This window comes from Homo sapiens, chromosome 19 (genome assembly GCF_000001405.40).
Source record: "Homo sapiens chromosome 19, GRCh38.p14 Primary Assembly".
NCBI lineage: Eukaryota > Metazoa > Chordata > Mammalia > Primates > Hominidae > Homo > Homo sapiens.
The window spans coordinates 42,147,896-42,170,430 of record NC_000019.10 but is presented as its reverse complement, the minus strand read 5'-3'; the positions used below and the strand labels follow the sequence as shown (position 1 = coordinate 42,170,430).

Sequence of the window (22,535 nt, the reverse complement as noted above, 5' to 3'; positions counted from 1 at the left end):
TTGGCGTTGGGTTGAAGGTTGGGGTGGGGAAGAAGCGATGGGTCTGGCTCTGCACTCTGAGCCTTCCATGTATCTGGTGGCCCATGAGGCCGTCTTTGTGCATCTGTTTGAGCCTCTGTCTAGGTGTCGGCGGGTGTGGGCTTGTGTGATTGCCTGTTTCAGAGTTTGAATATCTGTGTGTCCACAGCAGCATCTCCCTCGGAGCATGGATGTGGGTGGAGTGGGCCAGACCAGGATGAGGGGGGCATCTCCCTGAATCTCATCAGACCTCTGGAGGGGGGTCACACAACCCATGCTGAGCCTGGCTGGGACCCAGCAGCACAGCACAGTGCAGACCACCCCTCCTCCTCCTTTTCCCCCCATGACCTTTGAGCACAGCAGCCCCAAATACATATTTATCAGAGGGGCTGTGGGGACCAGCCCCTCCCCCACCACTCCCCTCAGGGCCCAGCCTGCCTGGCTGTGGAGAAATTAACCTTGTGACACAGGAGCTCGCTGACACCCCGGCCCCCTCCCCATCTGCAAGGCACATATGAGCAAGGGTGTGTGTGTGAGAGAGAGAGAGACAGAGAAAAGGTACTCATCCAGACTGGGAAGGCGCAGCAGCGAGGGGAAGAAAGACACACAGGTACACACGCACATGTGTTTATATCACCCCGACACACACACACACGCACACACACACGTGTGCGCGCACTCATTCGCCAAACTAGAGAGGCCACGTAAGTCTTGAACGGATGCACAAGGCAAATACTGAAATACATAAGCATGCAGACACATGCAATGATCCTGCAAGAGACATACACAGATTCTGAAACACATGGTAGCCATGTGCACCCTTGGGTCCTGGGAGCCAGATACCCATACTTTTGGTCAGAGATTCCCTAAGAAAATTCATAGATGCTAAACCCTGCAGATGCACATAGACGTTTGTATATTTGTCCACAGAGATGCCAAAATGGACACACCAGGTTTGGAAACAGGGGTAAACACATACTCAGACACAGGTATGAAAACCCAGATGTCTGTGCAGGCACATAGGTGCTGAGACCTCTCAGGGCAAGACAGACACCAAAACACCAGGGTGCTCCTCGTGTGGAGATTTGTTTTTCAATAGAAAATGTACGAATAGAAATACTAAAACATGGCAGCATCCCAGCCTATATGCCTGTGGGTGCACACAGGCCACATTCAGAAATCCCACAGGGAGGCCACACGTGGTGACCGAAAGGGCCATGCCCTGAGTTATAGCACACAAACACCCCCCAGGCTAGCCTCATCCCCCTAAAGCAAAACAAAATAGGTAGATGTTCAAGTGTGAAAATGTGTATAGAATTAATTAACTCATCACATAGGTACTGAGCCTCTATAGGAGTCAGGCCCTGTCTTAGAAGCTGAGGAAACAGTGGTTTACGAGACAGACCTGGGCCTTGCTCTCTAAGAGCTCCAAGCCAACAGGACTGGCACTGATCAGACCTCAGTGTATAGTTAGTTATAAATACACCTGGTAAGGAGAGGAAAAAGGGGCTACAGGAGGGCATCACGGAAGAACCTGGTTTAGATTGGTAGGCTAGGTGTAACATCTCTGAGGAAGTGACATTTAAGCTTGACATCAGGCACAACACACAGATTCTAAATGTGTACACATATCCCTCCTGAAACTCACAGAGCCCACACAGGCATAAATAATGCAGCACTCAGATGCCCCTACCCTTACCCCACTATGCCGCACTTTTCCCTCTAGAAAACTCCTCTGGCATGTCCCTAGGTGGGAAATGGGATCCTTTCACCTGGGGCCCAGATTCTGGGCTCTGGATGAGGTGCACAAAGCATTCTGGGGCAGTGCTGAGTGGGGAGCCCAGGAAGATTCACCAAGGAGGAGACATGGAGAGGGTGATAAGGTGCAGAGAAGAAGGCAGAAGACTGTCTAAATGGAGATGCTTGCCTGGGCAAGGGCATGGACATGTGAACAAGCCTAGACTGTTCCCAGCAATCATGTGAGGCCCAGGGTCACGGGACCTTCAGGAGGACTGAGAGGAGACTTTACATGACTGGGAAGCACTGTGAGGCTTGGGATTTATTCAGGGCGCACCACATAACCACAAAACAGTTTTGAGAGGGACTAGACAGAGCATGTGAGCCAGGTACCAAGTCTGATCTCTCTGAGCCTCGTGTGGGGACAGGACAGGATGGGTAGCCCCTGGAGGAAGGGATCCAGTGAGCAGGCCACCAGTCACAAGGACTTCTGCTCTACCTGTCCAGTCTGGGAACCCTGGCCAAGGTCTGGTGAGGGAGGTGGTACAGAACTACCTTCCCCTTGCTCCCAGCCCCATATCTTGGCCACTGCTACGACTTGCCCCCAAATGGAGATTTGCTAGGGAATGGAGGTCAGGAGCTATAGTCACCCTTACTTTCTACTGACGTTCTATTGATTTCTGAGCCTCCTGTGGCCAGGCCTGAGCTGCATGCCCAGTCACCCAGATGAGGCAGATCTTTCCATGTTCTAGAGTAGTCCTCAGTCTGGGGAGGTTGACCCTGACAAAGCCCTGTCAAGGGACTCCGAGGGCTTACTGAGGGCTTCTTGGGCTTGTTCTTGGAGAATGAATGGGTCAGAAGGCCCCATAGGCAATATGGGCAATGGGTGAGGCTGGAGCCTGGTTTTGTGAGGGTGAGACCAACCCTCACCTGCCACAGAGAGAGCCTGTCATTTCTCCCATCACACTTAGAACATCTTTCTTGGCTTGCAAACCCTGTATGAGCTAGCGCCTGTCTGTCTATTCAACTTTTACTCCCTCCCTCCTGGCTCTGGAAGCTCAAGCCATTCTGGCCTTCTTGCTGTTCCTTAAACCTTGTTCCTGACCCAGGGCCTTTGCACTTGCTGTTTCCTTTGCCAGGAAAGCTGTCAAAATCTACCTTCTCTGATAGGCTTTTCCTTTATGTTTAAAATAGCAGCTTTTTTTTTTTTTTGGAGTTTGGGGGGACAGAGTGTTGCTCTGTTGCCCAGGCTGGAGTGCAGTGGTGCAATCTCAGCCCACTGCAACCTCTGCCTCTGAGGTTCAAGCGATTCTTGTGCCTCAGCCTCTTGAGTAGCTGGGACTACAGGCGCACGCCACCATGCCTACCTAATTTTTGTATTTTTGTAGAGACGGGGTTTCATGATGTTGGCCAGGCTGGTCTCGAACTCCTGACTTCAGGTGATCTGCCCGCCACGGCCTCCCAAAGTGCTGGGATTACAGGCATGAGCCACTGTGCCTGGCCAATAGCAGCATCTTGTAAGCCACTTTCTCCCTGCTTTATTTTCCTTCTTAGGTCTTAAATATATTTTCTTGTGTATCATATCTCTTCCTCCACTAGAAGGTGGATTCCACGATGGCAGGGACTTTGTGTTGTTCATAGTTGTATCCCTAGTGTGTAGCACAGTGCCCAGAACACGATAAGTGCTCATTGAATGTTTTGTCAAATGAACTGAAGCCGGATCCCCTGTCACCTACTTGCCCAATATATCACCTACTTGCCCAATATATCACCTGCTTGCCCAATATAATGGTGGAGGTAGACGTCTGCTGTGTCAGACAAGGGTGGCAGAGCTCACCTTCAGGGTGAGCACTTACCAGTGCTGGAGGGGTACATTGGCAAGTGAGTCCACCTCCTACCTGAGCCTCAGAGCAGCCAGACTCCAAAACCATCATCATCCTGGGCCTGTATGCTCCCATCCTGCACCCTCATCTCCCTCACGACCCTCCCCTCACTCCAATCAACTCCTCCTTACTCCCATTGTCAGATCTGCTCACCCCCTGACGCACACTGCTGCCCTTCCCCTCCTTCACCTCCAGCATACACTCTGATGGCCCCTGCCCCCAGACACAAAGGAGGGGAGACCACAGACTGTGGAGTCAGACACACCCGGCTTTGAGTCACATCACTCCTTTTAAGCCTCGAGTTTCCTTGTTGGCAAAATAAGGTTTTTGTTGGGATGAAGAGCAGTGGCACGTGTGATGATGACGCTAATAATAGCTGCTATTTATTGAGTACCTGCCAGGTGTTAGGCATTGTGCAAGGTGCTTTGAACTTTTTTTTGTTGTTCATTTTAAAAAACGGAGGAAAAAAAAAAACTCTGAGCATAGAGTGTCCCCAGAGCATGAGACCTGGTGCCCAGTGCTGTGAATGACAAAAGTGAACATAGTCCATCTGCACAGAGCTTACTATTCCAGTGTGTGCACACACATACCCAAAGTGTCACACCAGTCAGGTGATGGGGAGCTTGTGCTCCTGTGCTCGATCCTTTTCTGCAGAAGGCCCAAGAGATAGTTTGGGGGCCATTGCGGCAGCAACTGTCAGAGATAAGGGGCCATCCCCAGCCATCCTTAATTCCCCTTTACCAACCTAATGGGAGCTCTCATTGTTCATATCTGGATTGCAGGGCCCAGCATGGGATCTGGCCTAGAATTGGCCTCAGGAAATGCTTACTGAATGAATGAATGAATGAACAAAGGAATATATTTAGCTGAGTGTCTTCATTGCATTTGTTCATTTGCTCAGGTTACCAAGACAAACCTTCTCCCTTACCTACCCACCACCTTCACTTACTACTCACAGCATTTATGGCTGCTGATGGTAATAGTATTAATTTCTCCCACTCATTGCCCCTTTTTTGTGTGTAAGGCCTTTTGCTAAGTTCCCTATAAGCACGGTCTTGTTGGCTTCTCACACCAGCAAAATGAGGCAGCTGTTATTATTATCTTCATGCTATGTTTGAGCAAACTGAGGCTCAGAGAGGTGAAGTGACTTGCCCAGGGCCACACAGTGAGGAAGTGGCCGACCCCATGTTTACCCACTGTGCTCTTCTGCCCCACAGAAGTGCACATTATCTCAGGAGTCTGCATGCACACTTGTTCTTGCAGTTGTCCCCCTCCCAGTAGTTGGATGGCACTACTCTGATCCAGGAGCCCAGATCCCCAGCTTCTGGTCCCAGCTGTGTCATGACCAGTTGAGTAGCTCTGGGAAAATCCCTTCCCTCCCTCTGGGTCTTCGTTTTCCCTCCAGCAGTTCCTCCTGTCTGTAAGCCCTCAGCCAGTTTCCTGAAGAGGGGACAGGGGACTGTATTTGGCTTGGTACTACCCCGCCCACTCTATTGAGAGCAGAAGCCAGAGGAGTGAGCTCTTCTCCATTCAGCAGACTTCAAATTCATTCACATTCTTGAGGGCACTGAACTCTGCTGGGTTTGGACATAAGGGAAGACATAAGACAAGCCTGGCTGGGAAAGGGAGAGGGAAGCAGAGAAACAGCACTAGAGGTGCCTCCACTAAGTACCTAGCCACAGTCTGTCAATTACAGACAAATGGTGTGACACATGTTCATTGTAGAAATAACAGAAAACAGAAATTCAATGAGATGAGAAGAAAATGACCATGATAATCTAGTTAAACGAACAACAAAAAGGACATTACCTTTTGCTATCTGTCTTTTTTTTTTTTTTTGAGATAGCCTGTCACCCAGGCTGGAGTGCAGTGGAGAGATCTCAGCTCACTGCAGCCTCTACCTCTGAGGCTTAAGTGATCCTCCCATCTCAGCCTCCCGAGTAGCTGAGACTGTAGGTATGCGCCACCACACCCAGCTAATTTTTGTATTTTTTGTAGAGACAGAGTCTTGCTATGTTGCCCAGGCTGGTCTTGTACTCCTGGGCTCAAGGGATCCGCCCACCTCGGCCTCCCAAAGTGCTGGGATTACAGGTGTGAGCCATTGCACCCTGACTGTCTTAGCTTTTTTTTTTTCTCCAAAGGAGATTATGGCTATGAGTTTACCCAAATAATTTATTAAAATTTAGATACCTGGGACCCAAACTCAGATTTTTTTTTTTTTTGAGACAGAGTCTCGCACTGTCACCTGAGCTGAAGTGCAATGGCATGATCTCGGCTTACTGCAACCTCTGCCTCCCAGGTTCAAGCGATTCTCCTGCCTCAGCCTCCCAAGTAGCTGGGATTACAGGTGTCTGCTGCCACGCCTAGCTAACTATTTTTGTATTTTTAGTAGAGATGGGGTTTCAAACTCCTGACCTCAGGTGATCCGCCTGCCTTGGCCTCCCAAAGTGTTGGGATTACAGGCATGAGCCACTATGCCTGGCCTTTTTTTTTTTTTTTTTGAGACAGAATGTCAGTGTGTCGTCCAGGCTGGAGTGCAGTGGCGCAATCTCAGCTCACTGCAACCTCCACCTCCTGGGTTCAAGAGATTCTCCTGCCTCAGCCTCCTGAGTAGCTGGGATTACAGGCGCACCACCACACCCGGCTAATATTTGTATTTTTAGTAGAGATGGAGTTTCACCATGTTGGCCAGACTGGTCCAAACTCAGAATTCTGATTTCTGTTCCAAATTTATTTATTTTTGGTGGGGGAACCATCTGGATGTGTATTTTGTAAAAACGGGATGATATGCTACATACTTGTTTATAACTTGCCTTTTCTTCTTCCTAACAACAGATTATGAACATGGTTTCGTTGTCAATGATTTTATTTCATGGTATGAGCTGAGAGAAGTGTAAAAAAAAATTTATTTCAAACATGTTTTCAACAACTCTACAGTCCTTCTTTGTATGGCCACTATACTATCATTTATTGTACCAGTCCCCACTCATATGATATCTAGGTTGGTTTTTGATTTCCCCTATTATAATTATCCCCAGTTTACAAATGAAGACATTGAGGCTTGGATGTGAAGCCTCTCACATGTGTGAAAAGCTAAGGCACAGTCAGAGGGGAGCCGGGGACCACTTGGGTGCCAGCAACAGTCCCTGGCCTCCCTCAGGGAGGGACTGAGGGATCCCGAGAGGAGAGAAAAGCCTGGGTAGAGGAAGCCACCAAGACATAAGACATGTGCCGTGTCAGCAGGGGCCCTTGAGGAGGAGACCACCCTCTTCCAGGCCCCAGAGCCAGGCGTGATGCCGGCCTATGTCCTGCCCACTCAGGCTTCCCTCATCCCTTCCGCTGCCCCCCTCCCTGAGCCCACTCACCGCCTGCTCCATCCTTGCCAGCTTATCAATAGGTTAAGTGGTCAGGTCAGTGATATTGACCATTTGATTAGGACCTTGTCAGATCAATCCCTGGCTCATCTCGTGGGCCTCCTCCTCTGCCCACACACTCCCTCCTGTTCTTCTGCTCCAGGGAGCAGGTGGCCACAGAAGCCTCTCTCTCCCAACACAGCACCCCAGAACCGGGAGCCCCATGGCCCTTTGTGGGCCATTCCTGGTTCTCTGTTTAGGTGCCCAGTTCCTGTACCTTCTCCTTGCATCCACCTCTCTTGCTCATAGTCGTTAGATCTTGTTTGCTGTATGTCCCATGCCCCTCGGAGTCCAATCAGATAGAGGTGCCCCCACTTGGCTGTGTGACCTTGAGCAAGTGACTTTACCTGTCTGAGCCTCCATTTTCCACAGCAGTGTCATGGGATGACACTCGCCGAACAAATGTGAGATGCTGAGAGATCACACCTGCAGAGCAATGACCCACCCCTGGTGCATGACCAGCACTCAGGAAATGCCAGTACTGATGTGTCTGTGGGTGCCAGTGTTTCCATCTGTCTATCGGTGGGGTTGTATGTGGGCATTCTGTGTCTGTGGGGGCAAGTGGCGTCATCATTCTTAGGCCTGTCCCAAGCCCTGGCTTGGGGTCATTCCCTGTGCTGGGCAATGCTTCGGACCCCCAAAGGAGCCAGGCCCTGCCTTGCCCTCAAGGAGCTCACAGTCTGCCATGTACATGGCAAACTGACCCCAGGACACAGCAAACCATTATATACACTGGCTGTGAGGAGACTTGAGGGGCCAGGACCAAACCCTGAGCTTGCTTTCCCTCTGTGAACACTGGAATCTACCCTTTATGTGCACAGCTGCAGGAAATGTAGGCTTTGGAGTCAGACACATCAGGTTCAAATTCTGGCTCCCACTCTTCCTGTGCCTGGTAACTGTGGGCCAGCTGCTGCCCCTCTCTGTTCCTCAGGGTCCCCATCTGTACAATGGGGGAAGACATCTTCTAAATAGCTCCCAGTCTTAAGGCACTGCTGGGAATACAGCTCCTAGATCCCATGGACTGTCTCTCTACTTGGAGGTGTTGTCTGCTTGGGAGAGGGATCCTCTCCCCTCTGTCGGAGGGCATATTGGGGTTTGGGAACCCGGGAGATGGGATGAGAGTTGGAAGCAGATATGCCAGGGATGGTGCTGCCTATGGGCACCACAGCCCCAGGTAGCAGAGGGCAGGGAGACTCAAGTGTGGGCCCTGCTGGAGGGAAGCCCAAGGTGGGGGCACTGCCTGGGGGAAGACCCCAGCCCTAAGGCGCTGTCTGACTCTGGCCCCCCCGAGGCCTGGGGATTCCCTCGCCCACCCCATCACTTACACCAATATTGACGGTTAATGCCGTGTCGCCACCGTGTTCAACACTCAGCGCGGCTAATTGTTTTGACTGGGAATCGGCAAGGCGATTAAACGCCATCGATTTTGCCCTGCGCGCTGCATCGATTTTTAAATTTCCTATTGATCCCGGCCCTAAATCTCCTTAACCAAGACCTCACTGTGGAGATGACAGCCGCTGATTAGCTCCAGGGCGGGGGCTGGGGGGAAGCAGCCCCTGAGCGGGGAGCAACCCCAGCTCCTCCCTCCCCTCAGGGACCAGGGGTTCTGGTCCCCTTCTGCCCCTGAAGATGAAGGCCCAGGGAGAGACAGGACAGATGGAGGAGGAAGTGGGGAGACCCTTGGCCCTTTTTACCCCCCTTTTGCTTCTTGTTTGGGCTTTTCCCTGGTCTCTTTGCCCCCGCTCCCTTCATTCCTCTCTGTCTATTTCTCCCCATCTCTTCTCTTTCTCTCTCCCCCTCCTTCTCAGTCCATCTTTTTCTTTCTCCTCCTCCTCCTTTTGAACTCTGGTGCCTCCCTTAATTCCTCACTCCTCCTTCCTACAGGGCTGTGGAGAGGCTCAGCAAACCCTCTTTGGGGATGGGCCTCCTGACCTCTTGCCTACTTCTCTGTTCTCTCCATCTTGTACACAGGAGGTAGAAGGACCTTTCCAAAGGCAAACTGGATTGTATCCCTCTCCCTCTCTGACGAAGCCCTGGCTGCTTGGACCAGGCACTTGACGCCCTGCAGGGAGCAGCCCCTGCAATCTGGAAGCCTCGTCTTTCCCCATTTTTCTTACTGAACCCTGGACAGGCAAAGTCCTGGCATTCTCTCGTTCCTTGCACCTGGTTCTTTCTCTGATTAAAATTTGTCTTCCAGGTTTGGCTTGGGTGTTGTTTCCTCCCTAAGTCTTCTGTGATCTCACCCAGGATGCCCGCAGCACCCTCTGCTTACCCCAGCATGTTGGCATTGGCTCTTCCTTCTGTCTCCTCAACTTGCCTGTGAGCCCCGTAATAGAGCAGAGACCTTGTCTAATTCATCTCTGTCCCCTGCCACACTTGATTCAGAGCCAGAGAAATCTCAATATTTGTTGATGAACTAAATGCACAAATGAATGGACAAATGTACAAGTCAGAAATATCATTATGACTTTTATTTTTAATCTCCCCAGAGCACATAGGAACTTAATAATGAGTAACCTTTTCAAATTTCTTTCTCATTTGTTCCTCGTAGCAGTCCTTTGAGATACACCATTTAATCAGTTAATTCCTCCATCCACCCATCCATTCACTCCGTCGTCCGTTATGCACTAATTGAGCATCTCAAATTTGCCAGGCCCTCTGCCAAACACAAAAGCTTCAAGACACAGTTACAGTCCCTGCACTTTAAGAAGCTTCCAGTCTGATGGGAAAAACAGATGTTCCACAGTGGCAGGCACTAGTATGCCCATTTATGAGTTGGGGACACAGAGGCTCAGAGGCCAGAAGTGACTACTGAAGGCAACAAGTGGCTGACTGGACCTGAGTTCCAGGCACCTGACTCCACAGTTAGCCAACTGCAGCTCCTGATGATGTGACAGGAGGAGGGTTCCTCCACTGGAGGAGTGCATCATCCTGCATGAGGATGGGGAATTCTCCGGGATGTTGACTGCATTCTCCTCTCTCTCCAGGTTCTCGACTGGACCGGGTTGGTGGCCTGAATGTATTAGCTTCGCTGCGTCTGCCCAAGAGGTAAGGACCACGGCCTTAGAGTTTTGCTTATTGATGCACCTTCTGGTTTCTCACAGAAGTCTCTGCTTTCCCATCCTCGTCTCTGGCCTCACCCTGGGTGTGTTGCTGCCCTTCTCCACTCTGCCCACCCAGAGGTTAGAATCTGACTGCTTTGTTCTCACCCTCCATGCATCCTGTGGCTTTCGGGCCAAACCAGTGGTTCTTGGTGTTGATGACTGTGGGTGTTTCTGCTGATCAGTGTTACGGCTCAGTAGGAGAGAGATGGGGGTAACTCGGTGGCTCAGATCACAGCTTTGGGTTCAAGCACACCTATGTTCGAATCTCTTTTCCTGACTTCGAGGGACTTGGGAAAGTTTGAGCTTCCATTTCCTTGTCTGTAAATGGGAATACTAATAGAACCCACCTTAAGTGCCATCCTGAGAGCAAAAGGAGATAGAGGAAGAAGAGCCAGGTGGCTGAGTGATCCTGGGCATGGCTCAGTTTCCCCATCTGTCAAAGGAGGGTAATTAATAGCATTTACCACATGGAGGTGGCGTGAAGATGAAAGTACTTATTCCTTGAAATCGTGTGGCTGCAGGAAGTGGGAGCTCAAAATATGGCTGGAAGCGTTCCCCTGAACAAAGAAGGTTTTATGAAGCCCCTCCCTGAAGCCCACTGAGACTCCCAGGTAGAAGCCATAGTTCTCCTGCTGCTCACCTCTGTGGGAAGCAGGGGCTCTGGCCATTTGCCCTGGTGTTTGCTCCAGCTTGCTTGGTGAGGCCCTGGCAATGAGCATCTAGGGAGGAGGGTGGACAGGGCTTCTGGGGTGGGACAGCCCTCTACTGCCACCCCTATTCCCACCAGAGAAGCTTAACCCACAGGTCTCAGGACCCCAGGGAGGCCTTTGGGTGCCCTTGTAGGACTCCTGGGTAGGAGTCCTTTGCTGTACCAGGAATCACAGTCTCATTTTAAGAAGCAGATGGAAGCTGTAGCCCAGGGTTTGCAACCCAGCATTGTAGGGACTATGATGGACTGAAAAATGCATGGGGTGGGGGACTGCTTTTTAGCTCCACTGACTGTTCTCATGCACAGATGCAACCCTGACTTGCCAGGGTTTCTGATTTTTCAAGAGAAGCCAGGAACCCAGACTTGTGTGTGAAGTCTTCCAATCTTTAAATGTTGGCAACTAATGCAAAACTTGCAAAATCTCCTCGTGGTCCAAACAACATATTTCAGGCAACCTTTGGCCCATAGATACCTAGTTTCACAACAGTATAGAGCTTCTCCCAGGAAAACACATACCTACATTTGCCCAGTTGTGCTACACTTTGGGATGATCACAGACCCCCTGAAGCTCATTCATGGACCCCTGTTATCGCTGAGAGTGTTTGTTCCAGGATGTGTCATTTCTCTAGAGTGCTTTCTCCAGGGAACCGAAGTTGCAGTTTTTCCAGGAATCCTCACATCCTCGAAAAGAGAGTCAAGGAATTTCCAGGTTGCAGAATTAGTTTGGGAGCTAGAGACTGGCTTTGAGGAACGTCTGAAAGTTGGGCTGAAGTAACAGAGGGGTTTAATTATGTTTCCAGTTGGTAGAGGTCACTGTTAGGTCTATGATTTCAATTATTTGTCTTCAAATAGATGTTCATTAAATATCCATGATTTCATGGACATGTGGGTGACTGACTTGGTAACACGTAACAGGGCTGGTACATTCCAGTGAGGAAACTGATATTTATTAGGGGCCACCTTTGTGCAAGGGCCTGTTCTGGGCACTTTGCTTTTAATCCTCACAGCAACCCTGTGAAGTGGGTGTTGGCACCTGTTACAAGACAAAGAAACTGAGGCACAGAGCGTGAAGGCAACTTGCCTAAGGCCACCCAACATGTAAGCAGTAGAGTTAGAATTTGAACCTGGGTTTGCCTGACCTTAAAGCTCTCATTCTTTTACCTCACCAAAACCCACCATTGTTTTTGGTATCTCCACAGTGTGGCAAATTTTTGCACTTTGGGAGTGAATTTGATTTCGGAGACCACCTGAAGTCTGATTTAGCAGCAGCTCTGATGAATTTAGCAATGATAATACTGGGGCCACTTGTTGGTTTTTCAATAGAAACTAGAGATGATTATACACTAGAGAGATGCTTTGCTGATGGAGTTTGTAAACTGGCCTTGAAGGCTGTTGCCAAAATATCAGGTGGTTCAAGAAAAAGTTCGGCCTCCTGAGGAGACATCTTTGAAGGAAGCCATACTCTTTTAGGTGTATAGTTTTGTTACGAAACAACAACTACAATAAACATCGCCCTCACCTGCTCTGTCTTTCCTTTATAGCCACACTTGGAAGGTGAGTGATGCCCCAAACATGTCTGGAGGCCTCCTCAATGCTCTATGTGGGAGCTGGAGCCCCAGGATGAGTGAGAGACCCCCTCCCAGCCCTGGGGTTGTGGTGGCCTCTGCTGCCTATGCTCCCGTGTGACTCCCCCTCCTCCTCTCCCTTCTGGCCCTTCCTCCAAATCTCCTCCCACCCACAGCAGGGCCTTCTCTCCACTCTGGGTTGGCTTCACTTCTCTACCTCCTCAGCTCCCCATCTAAGGCTCCTCAACTCTGAGGGCCTTTCTTGACCCATGGGCTGGATGATGCCTCCTTTTCCCTCCTGAGCACTATCACCGTATCTGATTATATTCTATATGGTTAATGTCTGCTCTCAGAAGCCTCTGGGTGAGGGGACCTCTCTGTTTGTCTAACACATCTGTCTATACTCAGTCCCTGGCACAGTGTAAGTGCTCAGCAAGCATGAGCTGAATGAATAAATAAGTGAGCAAACAGACACATAAACCTAGATCCATCCATTTATTCCTTCAGCCAACATTTTCTGGGATTCCTTGTGTGCTAGGCCTCGTGCCACCATCTGGAGATGCAGAGAGGCGGGAGACCCATGTGGCCTTTGAGGGGCTTTCAGGCTCGTGGGGGTTCAGGCACAGACACCACCAATCTGAACCAGGGGACTGCAGGATGCTGGGTTAGGGGAGAGAGGGATAGGCTGGCTGGCCTAGGGGGTCCTCAGGAAGTCTTTGGGGGTAAGGAGAGAACTCCTGAAAGGTAAGGAGAAGCCGAGGGCTAAGTTACATTTCGAGTGGATGGGAAGGGGTGTGGACTGACTGGGCTCCTACTCACTATTGGGGACTGTGTATGCTGGCCTGGCCTTAGAGTCCTCACAGCCAGCTACAGTCCCCTGGGTATCTGGTGCCCTCCAAGTGCCAGGGCAAGAACAGGGCTGTGGTACCACTTTGTCTCTCCTTCCCTTCTGTCCTTCCATCCTTCCACAAAAAGACACAACGGCCTTCAATGTGGAGCGGTCCCAGGGTCACAGAGGTAACCCAGACATAAGCAACAGGCATGTGCCCCAGGGTGCTCACACACCCTGAGGGGAGTCCTGAATGCCTCGGAAGCAGAAGCTTTGCTCTAGGTGAGCGGCTTTCATCCTGGGTCTGGTGAGGTGACGTGGAAGGAACAGAATTCAAGGCTGCATGAGGAGGATGTTTAGCCGCACATGAGGACATTCTCCCATGGCCAAGAGTGTAGGTATGGCGGGGGGGCTGCCCTGGGATGGGAGGCGCAGGCCTTAAGGGCAGTTCAGGTTCTTCAGACAAGCCGGAGAAGCCAGGGCGTGGTGTCAGGGACTTGTCCACATGCCCCAGGCCCAGTCTGCCTCCTTCTGAATTACACCCCTGGGGGCTTTGGCTAGTGGAATAGGGTGTGTGCTATTCCAGATGTGGCTTGAAGGATGGCTGGGCTGGGACAGAGCTTTAGTGTAGAGGCAGCTCTGGGATGCTGGTGGGCTATGGCCGTGTGGTGGGACCTATAGGGTGGTCTGTAACTGGCAGCTGTGTGATCTGGGTGGTGGGCAGGGGCACTCCTCGCTGGATGTGGAGTCCAGATGTGAGGGTCTGTTTAGCATTCTGGGGTGCTGGGAGGTGGCAAGAGATTGCTTGATCCTTTTGGCTGCCTGTGCTCTGTCACTGGGTGGGTGGAGACAGCTGTGGACTGGGAATATTTGTCAGCCATGGGGTGGGGATTATAGATGTGTAGGAGGTAAAAATGGCTTGCATCTCTGAGCCAGTTCGGGGACCAGTGGGTCCCTGGAATCCCTGACAGTCCCACAGCAAATGAAGGTCAAGTACCCACCATCCTGGTAAGCATGGAGCCCCAGGTGCCGAGAGCAGGCACTCGGCTCTGACTTCAAATAGAGAGACGTTCCTCAGGGCTCTTCGAAGCACTGGTGAGGGCTGGTAGGCAGAGAGAAGGCCTCAGAGAACGGCCCTGGGTGTTTTCAGCTGCGCTTGTTAGAAATCTTGATGCGCGCCCCACCCCCACCCCGTGGTTGTTGGGCTCACGCTGCCCTGCCAGGTCTCTGCCCCTGGCTTTCCTTCCTTTCCTCTTCCTCTCCCTTTGGCTCCAGCCCCAGCATCATCTTTCTTCCTTTTCTTAGTCTTCATTATGTGTCTTGGCCTCTCCATTCCTCCCTGGTCAGCTCCTTTTTTTCTGAGCTGGATCTCTGTGTTGAGTGTTGCCTGTGGGTTGAGTCTTAGCTTTTGTCTCCAGAGAGAGCCACACTGAGATCTGGAGGCTGGGGAGATCCAGAGATCCGGCCTGGGGTGGGTGTGAGGTGGGGTAGGAAAGAGAGGAGGATAAAAGGTGATTGAGGGAAAAACAAGAAAGGAAGTATTCACCCACTCCTAGCACTCCAGGACAGCTTCTGAGGTCCTTTACACAGTGATCCACCCTTGCTTTTCTCAAACTTTCAAGCAATCCTCCTGCCTCAGTCTCCTATGTAGCTGGGACTACAGGCTAGGACCACTGTGCCCAACCTTGCTTTTCTTGGGGACGAGGTGGATAGGAGGGCCAGAGGGATTGTCTAAGAAAGGGGAATCCAGAATACACCAGATGGGAGTGGAGGGAGAGGGAGACCCAGGGAGCATGCACCTCATGACAGAAACACAGAGAGGGGAACAGAGCAACGGAGAGGAGCAAAGAGGAAGAGGAAACAGCAGAAAAGTCAGAGGCAGGAAAGCAGAGTGAGGGACTCAGAGACAGAAAGGAACAGAGAGAAAGAGAGGGCGCGTGCATGCGAGCTGAGCGCATGAGAGTGCATCAGAGAAAGATGAAGGCAGCCGGGCTGAAGGCAGGGGACAATGAGAAAGAAAAAACAGTGCGGGGCAGCTGCAGCTGAGGCAGGTGGGCAGGACTGTGGGGCAGGAAGGAAGGACCTCACACCTGGCCCCCCACCCCCCAGGCTGGCCATGCCTGGCAGAGTACGAGGAAATTGGCCAAGGCCCTGGTGTGTGTGGACTGTGTGTGGAGGGTGAGGTGGCGGTGTGTGGTAAGGAGGGATGTACTGCTCTCCCTACCCATGTGATCAGGTCCCAGTCGGCTCTGGCTGGTCCCTGAAGCTACCTGAGATCATCCCTGTCCATTCACCCTGTCCCCTCCCCACCGTGGCTCACAGGGGCCCAGAGGAACGTGGAAAAAGGCTTGAGCATCCCTGACTTCTGGCCTGGGGAATGGGGAGAAAGGTGTGTGTGTGTGTGTGTGTGAGAGACATCACTTTGGACGTGATCCCCTTTCAGTTTCTCTCTAGCTTTGCCATCTCAGAGTCTCTAGTGGGTTACCAACTCCCCTCCACCACTATCTGCCGTCTGCCTTTTATCTCTCTGGTCTCCTTTCTCTCTCACTCTCACTCAGCCTTTCTGTTCCTCTCTGTGCATTGCCCCCTTTCTAGTTCTCCCTGCCTCTGGCCCCCGTTCTCTCTTTATCTGCGTCTTCTCTCTGTGTGGCTCCATCACTGGGTTTTCTGCTCTGTTGTGTGCTCTTTCTCTGTTTCTCTCTCCGTCTCTCCAGTCACTGTCTCTGCGTCTCTCTCTGTCGTGCTCTCTGCATTTGCCCTTCCTCTGCTCTTTTTCTCTGCCTTTGCCTCCTGGTTTTGGTGTCTGTGTCCCTTCCAGTCTCTTTCATCTTCTGTCTCTGCTTCTCTGTGCATCTCTCTGCGTGTGCCTCTGTCTCTCACTCTGCCGTTCTCTTTCTCTTGTCGTCTCTCGGGGTCTCTGGCTGTCCATCCCTGCCTCTGTTTGTGTCTCTCTCGCTCCCCCTCCCTGTCCCCCCCTTTTTTTCCTGTTTCTAACACCCACACTCACATCCTACCTCTGGAGTAATTGCTTTTGTCTGGGTTGGACTGGACTTGTGGTGGGGGGAGGGCGGGGGGAGCGGGTGGCGCTGGGGGGGTTGGGAGGGACGGAGGTCGCTTGGTGGAGTTGAGGTGGCATCCACCAAAGCAGGGGTGTTGAGGAGCAGAGGTACAGCCTGCCCAAGGTGCCGGGGGAGGGACGGGGGCCTGGGCCCATCCTGGCAGGGGTCTGGGGTCTCTGGCAGGGAAGGGAAAGAAGGCAGGCAGGCCCTGACATTGGGATTTGGAGATGATGTAGTGATAAAACCGGCTAGCCAGTGTCTCCGTGGCAGCCCCTGCTGCCTCGCCACCCTCCCCCACTCAGAGACTCAGGGTTGTAGCCTCTACACACATACACCGTGCCGTCTACACCAAGTCACCATGACACACACAGGGACACACCCAGAGCCTCCAGCCCACTTGTGGAAACACACTCGACCATCGGCACACAGGGACACACAGCATCACATAGACACACAGAGAAACCGCATGGACTCTCCGACACTCATGAGGAGAACCTGCTTCCAGTACACATAGAGACCACCGCGCAGATCCCTGAAGCACACGCAGCTGCCCACAGGCACAGGCACAGATCCACACGGGACCCATGGAGGCTCACGCACAGCAGCATCCGTGCTCAGACACACTCTGTCAGGGGCATGCGCACGCCAACACACACAGGCTTCCCAGAGCACATGGGAACACATAGCTACCCCATTAACTGGGGACAGAGGAGATCCCTGAGGTGTTCCTGGGATACATCCCCAAGGGACAGACAGAGACTTAGCGTCAGGGAAACACTCATGGAAGTGCATACACAGCCACCCAGTGCTCCTGGGACACATCCATGAACTCATGTTCACACACAGACATGACTCGGGCCAAGACGCTCGGGTATGTGCAGTCCTAGAATCCCCCAGCAGAGCCTGAGGACACATGCACACCCTGCGTCCATGGCAGCTCGCACACCACAGACCTCTCGCTGGAACCTCCTGTCCGAAGCCGCACAAGCTTCCCACCCCAACCACACATGTGCAGGCCAGACCCTGGGGTGAGGCCAAGGCAACTTCTACCCGCAGGGACCCAAAGGCGGGGCAGCCAGCAGCTCTGGGGGTGGGCGCAGGCCGGCCTGAGGGTTCGCCCCACTGTTCTTTGTGTCCATTCACCGTAGCCTACTCCAGCACCCACCCCAGACCTTCCCCTGCCTCATGGGCTCAGGACAGTGTCTCTCTGAACCCACAGGTGCCCCCTGCCCACCTCCCAGAGCTCTGTCCGTCACACACCTTCAAAGGGCCCCATCTTTCTGAGCTGCTCCCAATTGAGGGGATGCCTGCTTTCTCCCAGAAATTGTCCCTCAATTTCTCCCAGCCCCCTTACCTGAAACTATGGCCCCCATCCCCATCTGCTTCCTTGCCCACTCCCATACTCACCCCCTCTCCCGGCTGTCCAAGCTCTCAGCCTCCCTAAGCTCTCCTGCTGTAGGGGAGTGGTGGGGGGTGCCTGGCCCCTCAGAGGCCTGGGTAAGGGGTACATGATGGTGGGGGACCTGGGTGCGGCTCCGGGAAAAGGAAGCAAGGCAAGCAAGGGAGAGAGAGAGAGGCAGAGGCAGGCAGCCAGCCAGCCGGCTTTATATCCCTGCCGTATTGATCCACCATGTCACAGCCCCGGTCGATAGCCAGCCGAGAAAGAGAGAGGGAGAGAAGGGAGGGGAGGTTTGGGGGAGGGCAGCCGGGACCCCTATAGTCCTCGGCCCATCTGGGGCCTTCTTGGCAGGCTGTGGGGGCATGTGTGAGCCCATCCCACCCCCTCCAAAAGAGGCCCGCCTTATTCTCCCCCTCTTCTTCTTCGCTGCGGCCCTCTCCCCGAGAGTCACCTCAGCCTTCATAGGAGAATTTAAGCACAGAAGATCTGCCTGTTTCCTTCTGTCTCTTTGGAGGCTCCATATCCCTGTGGGCATGGGGGCTCACAGCTGTTCATTGCCTCAGCTACCCGTTGCGCCCCACAGTCAGGCTGGGTGGATGGGAGGCCCTGACGCAGTGTCATGGGTGGATTGTGACCAACCAGAGTGTGAATCCTCCTCCTTCACTGTAGCCATGGGCAAAAGGGGAAAACTGTCTGAAGGCCTCTTCCCCAGCCACCGCTAGCCAGGTACTCAGGAGCACCCTGTCTATGTTGGTTTCCTGCCCTTTCTGACGGACGTTAAGTTTCTTCCCACAGCTGTGCCAGGCCAGTGCTCAAGGTCACATTTAGACTTTTTCTCTTCTGGCTTCCTCCCCTGCCCACTGGCTTAAGAGAGGAGAACGCTTAGCCTCACTTTTTCCTCAGCCTCCTCTTCCCTCTCCATAGAACCTTCTACCATCTGCCCCCACCAAACCTCCCCTGACCTGGGTGGGGGAGGGCAGGAGAGGAAGATGTCTTCCCTTAGTAGGAAGAGAAGTGAGGGGAGAGACTCTGGGACAGCGCTGAGAACCCTGGGCCTGGGCCGTCTCCCCTCTCTGGGCCTCAGTTTCCCCCCACCCCCATCCGACCTTGCCCAAGCTGGAAGGTCTGTATGGCTCTGGGATCCGTAGGGATTGGTACAGATGGGAGGCAGGGCCATCCAGAGGGTGAGAGCAGGGCCAGAGGGGTGCCTGTTGCCCCTCCCTCAGCCAGGACTGCCCTGGTCCCAGGTGCGTCCCCCCAGCCCCCAACTCCCCAGGGCTCCAGTTCTTTGTCTGTCCAGATCCTCCTCTCCTCCCAGCCCAGCCTCCGAGAGGTTGAGGAATCACCTTAGCCTTGACCCGAGGGGGAGGGCAGAGGAGGGGCAGGCGGCCCCCACCCCCGCCTTCTGCCCATGGCCATCCCCACAGCCCCTCTCCTCCCCGCTTCCCTGAGTACCAGGCCATCCCGCCAGTGTCAGGCCGATGCTCCCTTTGTTAGGAAGGGGGAGGGGAAAGAGACAAGCTGAGGGGACGTGGCCTGACCCCCGACCTCTCCCCCTCCCTCCTCCCATCTGGGTCCCCAGGGGCTCAGAGCCACCTTGACAGACAGTTCTGACCATCAGCCAAATGGCTCCGGGAGTGAGCAGGGGGCCAGGTAGGGGGGAGGGGAGGAAGGCCTGGCCAGGGCCCTCAGCCCACCATGGATATGTGTGTGTGGGTACTCTGAGGTTGGAAGGAGGCCCCTTGGAGGGGTGGCAGGGGGAGATGGGCATCCACAGAGGACAGGCTCTAGGAGGAGCCTGGTTGGATTGGGGGATACAGAAGCAAAGTGGGGCTCATCCCAGAGCCAGCAGTTCTGGGCACCCTGTGGATAGGGGCCTGGCCCAGGCAGATGCCCCCACCCCACCCCCACCCGGCCTGCGGCATTGGGAGTGCAGCGAGTTTTAAAAAAAATTAAAAGAATAAAAAAACAGGAGCAGGAGAAGCTGGGGGAAAAATATATAAGAAAAAATATAATAAGAACTAAGCGGTGGCTGCAGGAGAGAGAAAGGGCAGGAGGCAGGGAGGGGGGTGCAGGGGGGAGGGCGGCTCGGGCCCTGGTCGCTGCGAAGGCCGGCCGCCGGCCTCTGCGCTGAGCCCTCCGCGTCCCCCCTGCCGGCCCCCTCCAGCCCCGATCGATCCAGTTTCTTGGCAATAAAGCATTTTTATTGTCAGCTGCCCTGAATGCCAAATGTGAGCCTGGTCCTGCTCCCCTCCGAACCTGCTTCCTCACCACCCCTCCCCCAGCCCTCTCCACCCCCTCCCCTGCCATTCCCCCCACCGCAGGATCAGCATCGTCCATCACCAAGACCCCCTCCTCTTCCTCCTCATCCATGTCAGCCGCAGTGCCCGCACATCTTCAATAATCCACCAAGCCTTCCACCCCCCATCTAGGCCTCTGTGCTCCCTTCCCTAACCCCAAACCTGCAGAGGAGCAGAAAGGTGGCCATGGGATGGGTGGTCTTGGGGGGCACAGGGATGGGTAGGAGGAGGTACAGGAGGGTGTTGGGGTCACCAGGCAGGGAGACGATGGCCACAGGTTGAGGGAGGCATTGGCCAAAGTCAGGATAGCCAAAGCCTGTCCCTCAGCAGCCAGCAGGGGACAAGAACAGGTAGGGTGTCTGTGGGGACCAGGCACTGAAGAGGGGAGACAGACTGCAGCCTCTCTGCCCCTGGTTACAGCACTTCAGCTCTCAGTCCCCCAGGGCCTGTCTCTGCCCCTTCCACACTGAACTTGGCCCTTTTCTTTGGGAGGCAGCTGGGTGCAGGAAAAGAGAGAGGGCCGGGAGCTGGACACCTTCCCATGTGTCAGTCTCAGCTCTGCCCGGAGCAGCCCCTTCAGGGATGGGGACGACACCACACACCCTGCTGGACTGCTGGTGTGAGGGGCAGGGGAGAGGGTGTTGGGAAGCAATTTACAGGAGGCCCTTGTGGCCCCACCTCTGCTTGCTCTTCCCCCTCCCTCCCTCTTTCTTTTCTCTCCTGTTTTCTTTGTCTCTCTTTCTGCTGTTCTCTCTCTCTACCTCTTTATCTGCATCTTCCTGTCTCTGTCTCTCTATTTGACTCTGACTCTCTTTCCTTTATTGCTGCCTCTCCCTCCAGGGATTTAAAAACCCCCATACACTTCTCTGTTCTACCTTGATAGTCCCCAGTTACTCTTTCCTTACACCCCTCTTTTCTCTGCCCTGCTGTATGCTTTTCACTCTGTCTTTTTCTACCCTGCCTGCGCCCCACATCCCTTGTCTAGCCCCATCTCTCTTGGTTCATCTCCCCTCCCACAGCCATAGAAAGAAGTGGAGGCTCAGGTCCTTGGAACATCAGCAGAACACGCAGAAAAAGGGTCTTAAGCCCCTCTTCTTTCTCTTGGCAGTGTCAGTGTCTAGGGAAGTTCAAACAAGTCTACACTCGCAGAGATGGAGCTGGGAACTGAGGGGTGGGGCCCATCTGTCTGCCACAGACGCGCTGTGTGGCTTTGCTCAAGTCATGCTGGCCCTGAGCCTTGGTTTCCCCTGAAAAGCGAGCTACTCCAAGGGTGTTTACGGCCTCCCCTGTGGATTATGTTGCCTTGAAAGCCCAGGGTCCTCTGTCTCCTAGGGAGGGAGTTGAGGGCAGGATCTTCAGGCTGGGGAACATGGTCGCCCCTCCTCTCTCCTTCTCATGGTGGCTTGGGAAGGTGAAGCTGCAGACGTGGGCAGGTCTAGGGTGCCAAGATTTTTCCTCTCGGTCTGGGTGGGAGCGAGGCCCAACCAGGGTCATGCTTTAAGGAACATGGGGCGTGGATTCAAGACGCCTGGGTCCATGTCCATTGTCAGCTCCCCAGAGCAGGGGCCGTGACATCACTGGTGTCTGGTTCATTGCTTGCCACACAGACAGGATTCAAGGGACATTTGTGGAGCAAGTGAGGAAGAACCCGTGCAACAGTAGAGGCTGGGGTGGGGTGGGGTGGGGAGGAGCAAGTCCTGAGTGGGAGGCACAGCCGGAGGAGCAGAGGGATTCAGACATCTTTGGGTTGAATTGAGGGGAAGTTGACAGATGGGGGCATTTGGAGGATGAGGAGGATCTCAGGATGACCCTGGGTGTCCTTTCCAAGCCTCTCTCCTTCACCTAGGACCAGTCACCTCCACCCAACACCAACAAGGTCTACATTAGTGCAGCTTTCACAGTTCCCCACCTCTGGCCTCACAGCTACCTGGTTTGCGGAGGGGAGTGAGGATCTCTGTGTTAGAGAGATCCCTCTGATGTGGGAAGACGGCATTTGTGTTTCAAAGGCGTGTACAGACCCACGTATTTACCCACATGCTATATGCTTGCTTATGCCTGAAACAGTGCTTACTTTTCACTAGTTATGAATTTTTTGGCATTACCGTCAAACAAAAGTTTTCCAATTAGTACAAGGCCTTCCTAATAGAAGACAGAAAGGTCCCTCTGGGCCATGTGGGAAAGGCCAGGATGTGAGCACAAGAACCAGGTGTCAGCTGGGGCAGGGCTGGGTGGGTCTTGGGGTGGAGATGAGGTTGGCAGGATCAGCTGAGGAGTATGAGATTCAGGCCAAGACCAGGAAACCTGGAAAGAGGTGAGGGCTTTGGGGGCGAAGGATGAAGAGGGGGGCAAGAGATCAGGGGATGCTTCTCCTGCAATGACCATTTTGCCTGCCTCAGTGTGAGGGGTACAAATCCCGGCTCTTCCATGGACTCACCATGACACCCTGGGAAGGGGGCTTCTCCTGTCTGAGCCTTATTTCCTCCTCTGGGTCATAACTACTACCTCATAGGGGTCAGGGA

At 53.4% G+C, this 22,535-nt stretch overlaps 1 protein-coding gene and 1 long non-coding RNA gene across 4 annotated transcripts in view, besides 4 other annotated features; one reads left to right on the top strand and one right to left on the bottom strand.

The window, feature by feature from the left end:
• Window positions 1-22,535, top strand: part of POU2F2 (POU class 2 homeobox 2) — a 111,827-nt gene that overhangs the window by 27,506 nt on the left and 61,786 nt on the right. For all 3 annotated transcript variants that reach the window (XM_047438955.1, XM_047438954.1, NM_001393934.1), the window contains exon 2: window positions 10,039-10,099. The gene's annotated coding sequence lies outside the window, so the exon portion shown is untranslated. The remainder of the gene's footprint in view (window positions 1-10,038; window positions 10,100-22,535) is intronic.
• Window positions 4,997-5,220: a silencer, noted in NCBI's record as "fragment chr19:42669363-42669586 (GRCh37/hg19 assembly coordinates)". NCBI's record gives its function as "represses an EF-1alpha promoter that drives an FKBP-Casp9 reporter gene in an ReSE screen in K562 erythroleukemia cells {active_cell/tissue: K562}" and the evidence as "EXISTENCE:reporter gene assay evidence [ECO:0000049][PMID:32094911]".
• On the bottom strand, window positions 12,910-17,895 carry POU2F2-AS2 (POU2F2 antisense RNA 2). Its single transcript, NR_186341.1, has 2 exons — window positions 17,725-17,895; window positions 12,910-14,724 (listed from the first exon to the last, which is right to left on the bottom strand). It is a non-coding gene; the product is annotated as a POU2F2 antisense RNA 2 (long non-coding RNA).
• Window positions 14,909-15,437: an enhancer, noted in NCBI's record as "H3K4me1 hESC enhancer chr19:42659146-42659674 (GRCh37/hg19 assembly coordinates)". NCBI's record gives its function as "activates a minimal SCP1, AML or CMV promoter by ChIP-STARR-seq in primed H9 embryonic stem cells {active_cell/tissue: H9 hESC(primed)}" and the evidence as "EXISTENCE:reporter gene assay evidence [ECO:0000049][PMID:30033119]".
• Window positions 19,898-20,398: an enhancer, noted in NCBI's record as "H3K4me1 hESC enhancer chr19:42654185-42654685 (GRCh37/hg19 assembly coordinates)". NCBI's record gives its function as "activates a minimal SCP1, AML or CMV promoter by ChIP-STARR-seq in naive H9 embryonic stem cells {active_cell/tissue: H9 hESC(naive)}" and the evidence as "EXISTENCE:reporter gene assay evidence [ECO:0000049][PMID:30033119]".
• Window positions 20,399-20,899: an enhancer, noted in NCBI's record as "H3K4me1 hESC enhancer chr19:42653684-42654184 (GRCh37/hg19 assembly coordinates)". NCBI's record gives its function as "activates a minimal SCP1, AML or CMV promoter by ChIP-STARR-seq in naive H9 embryonic stem cells {active_cell/tissue: H9 hESC(naive)}" and the evidence as "EXISTENCE:reporter gene assay evidence [ECO:0000049][PMID:30033119]".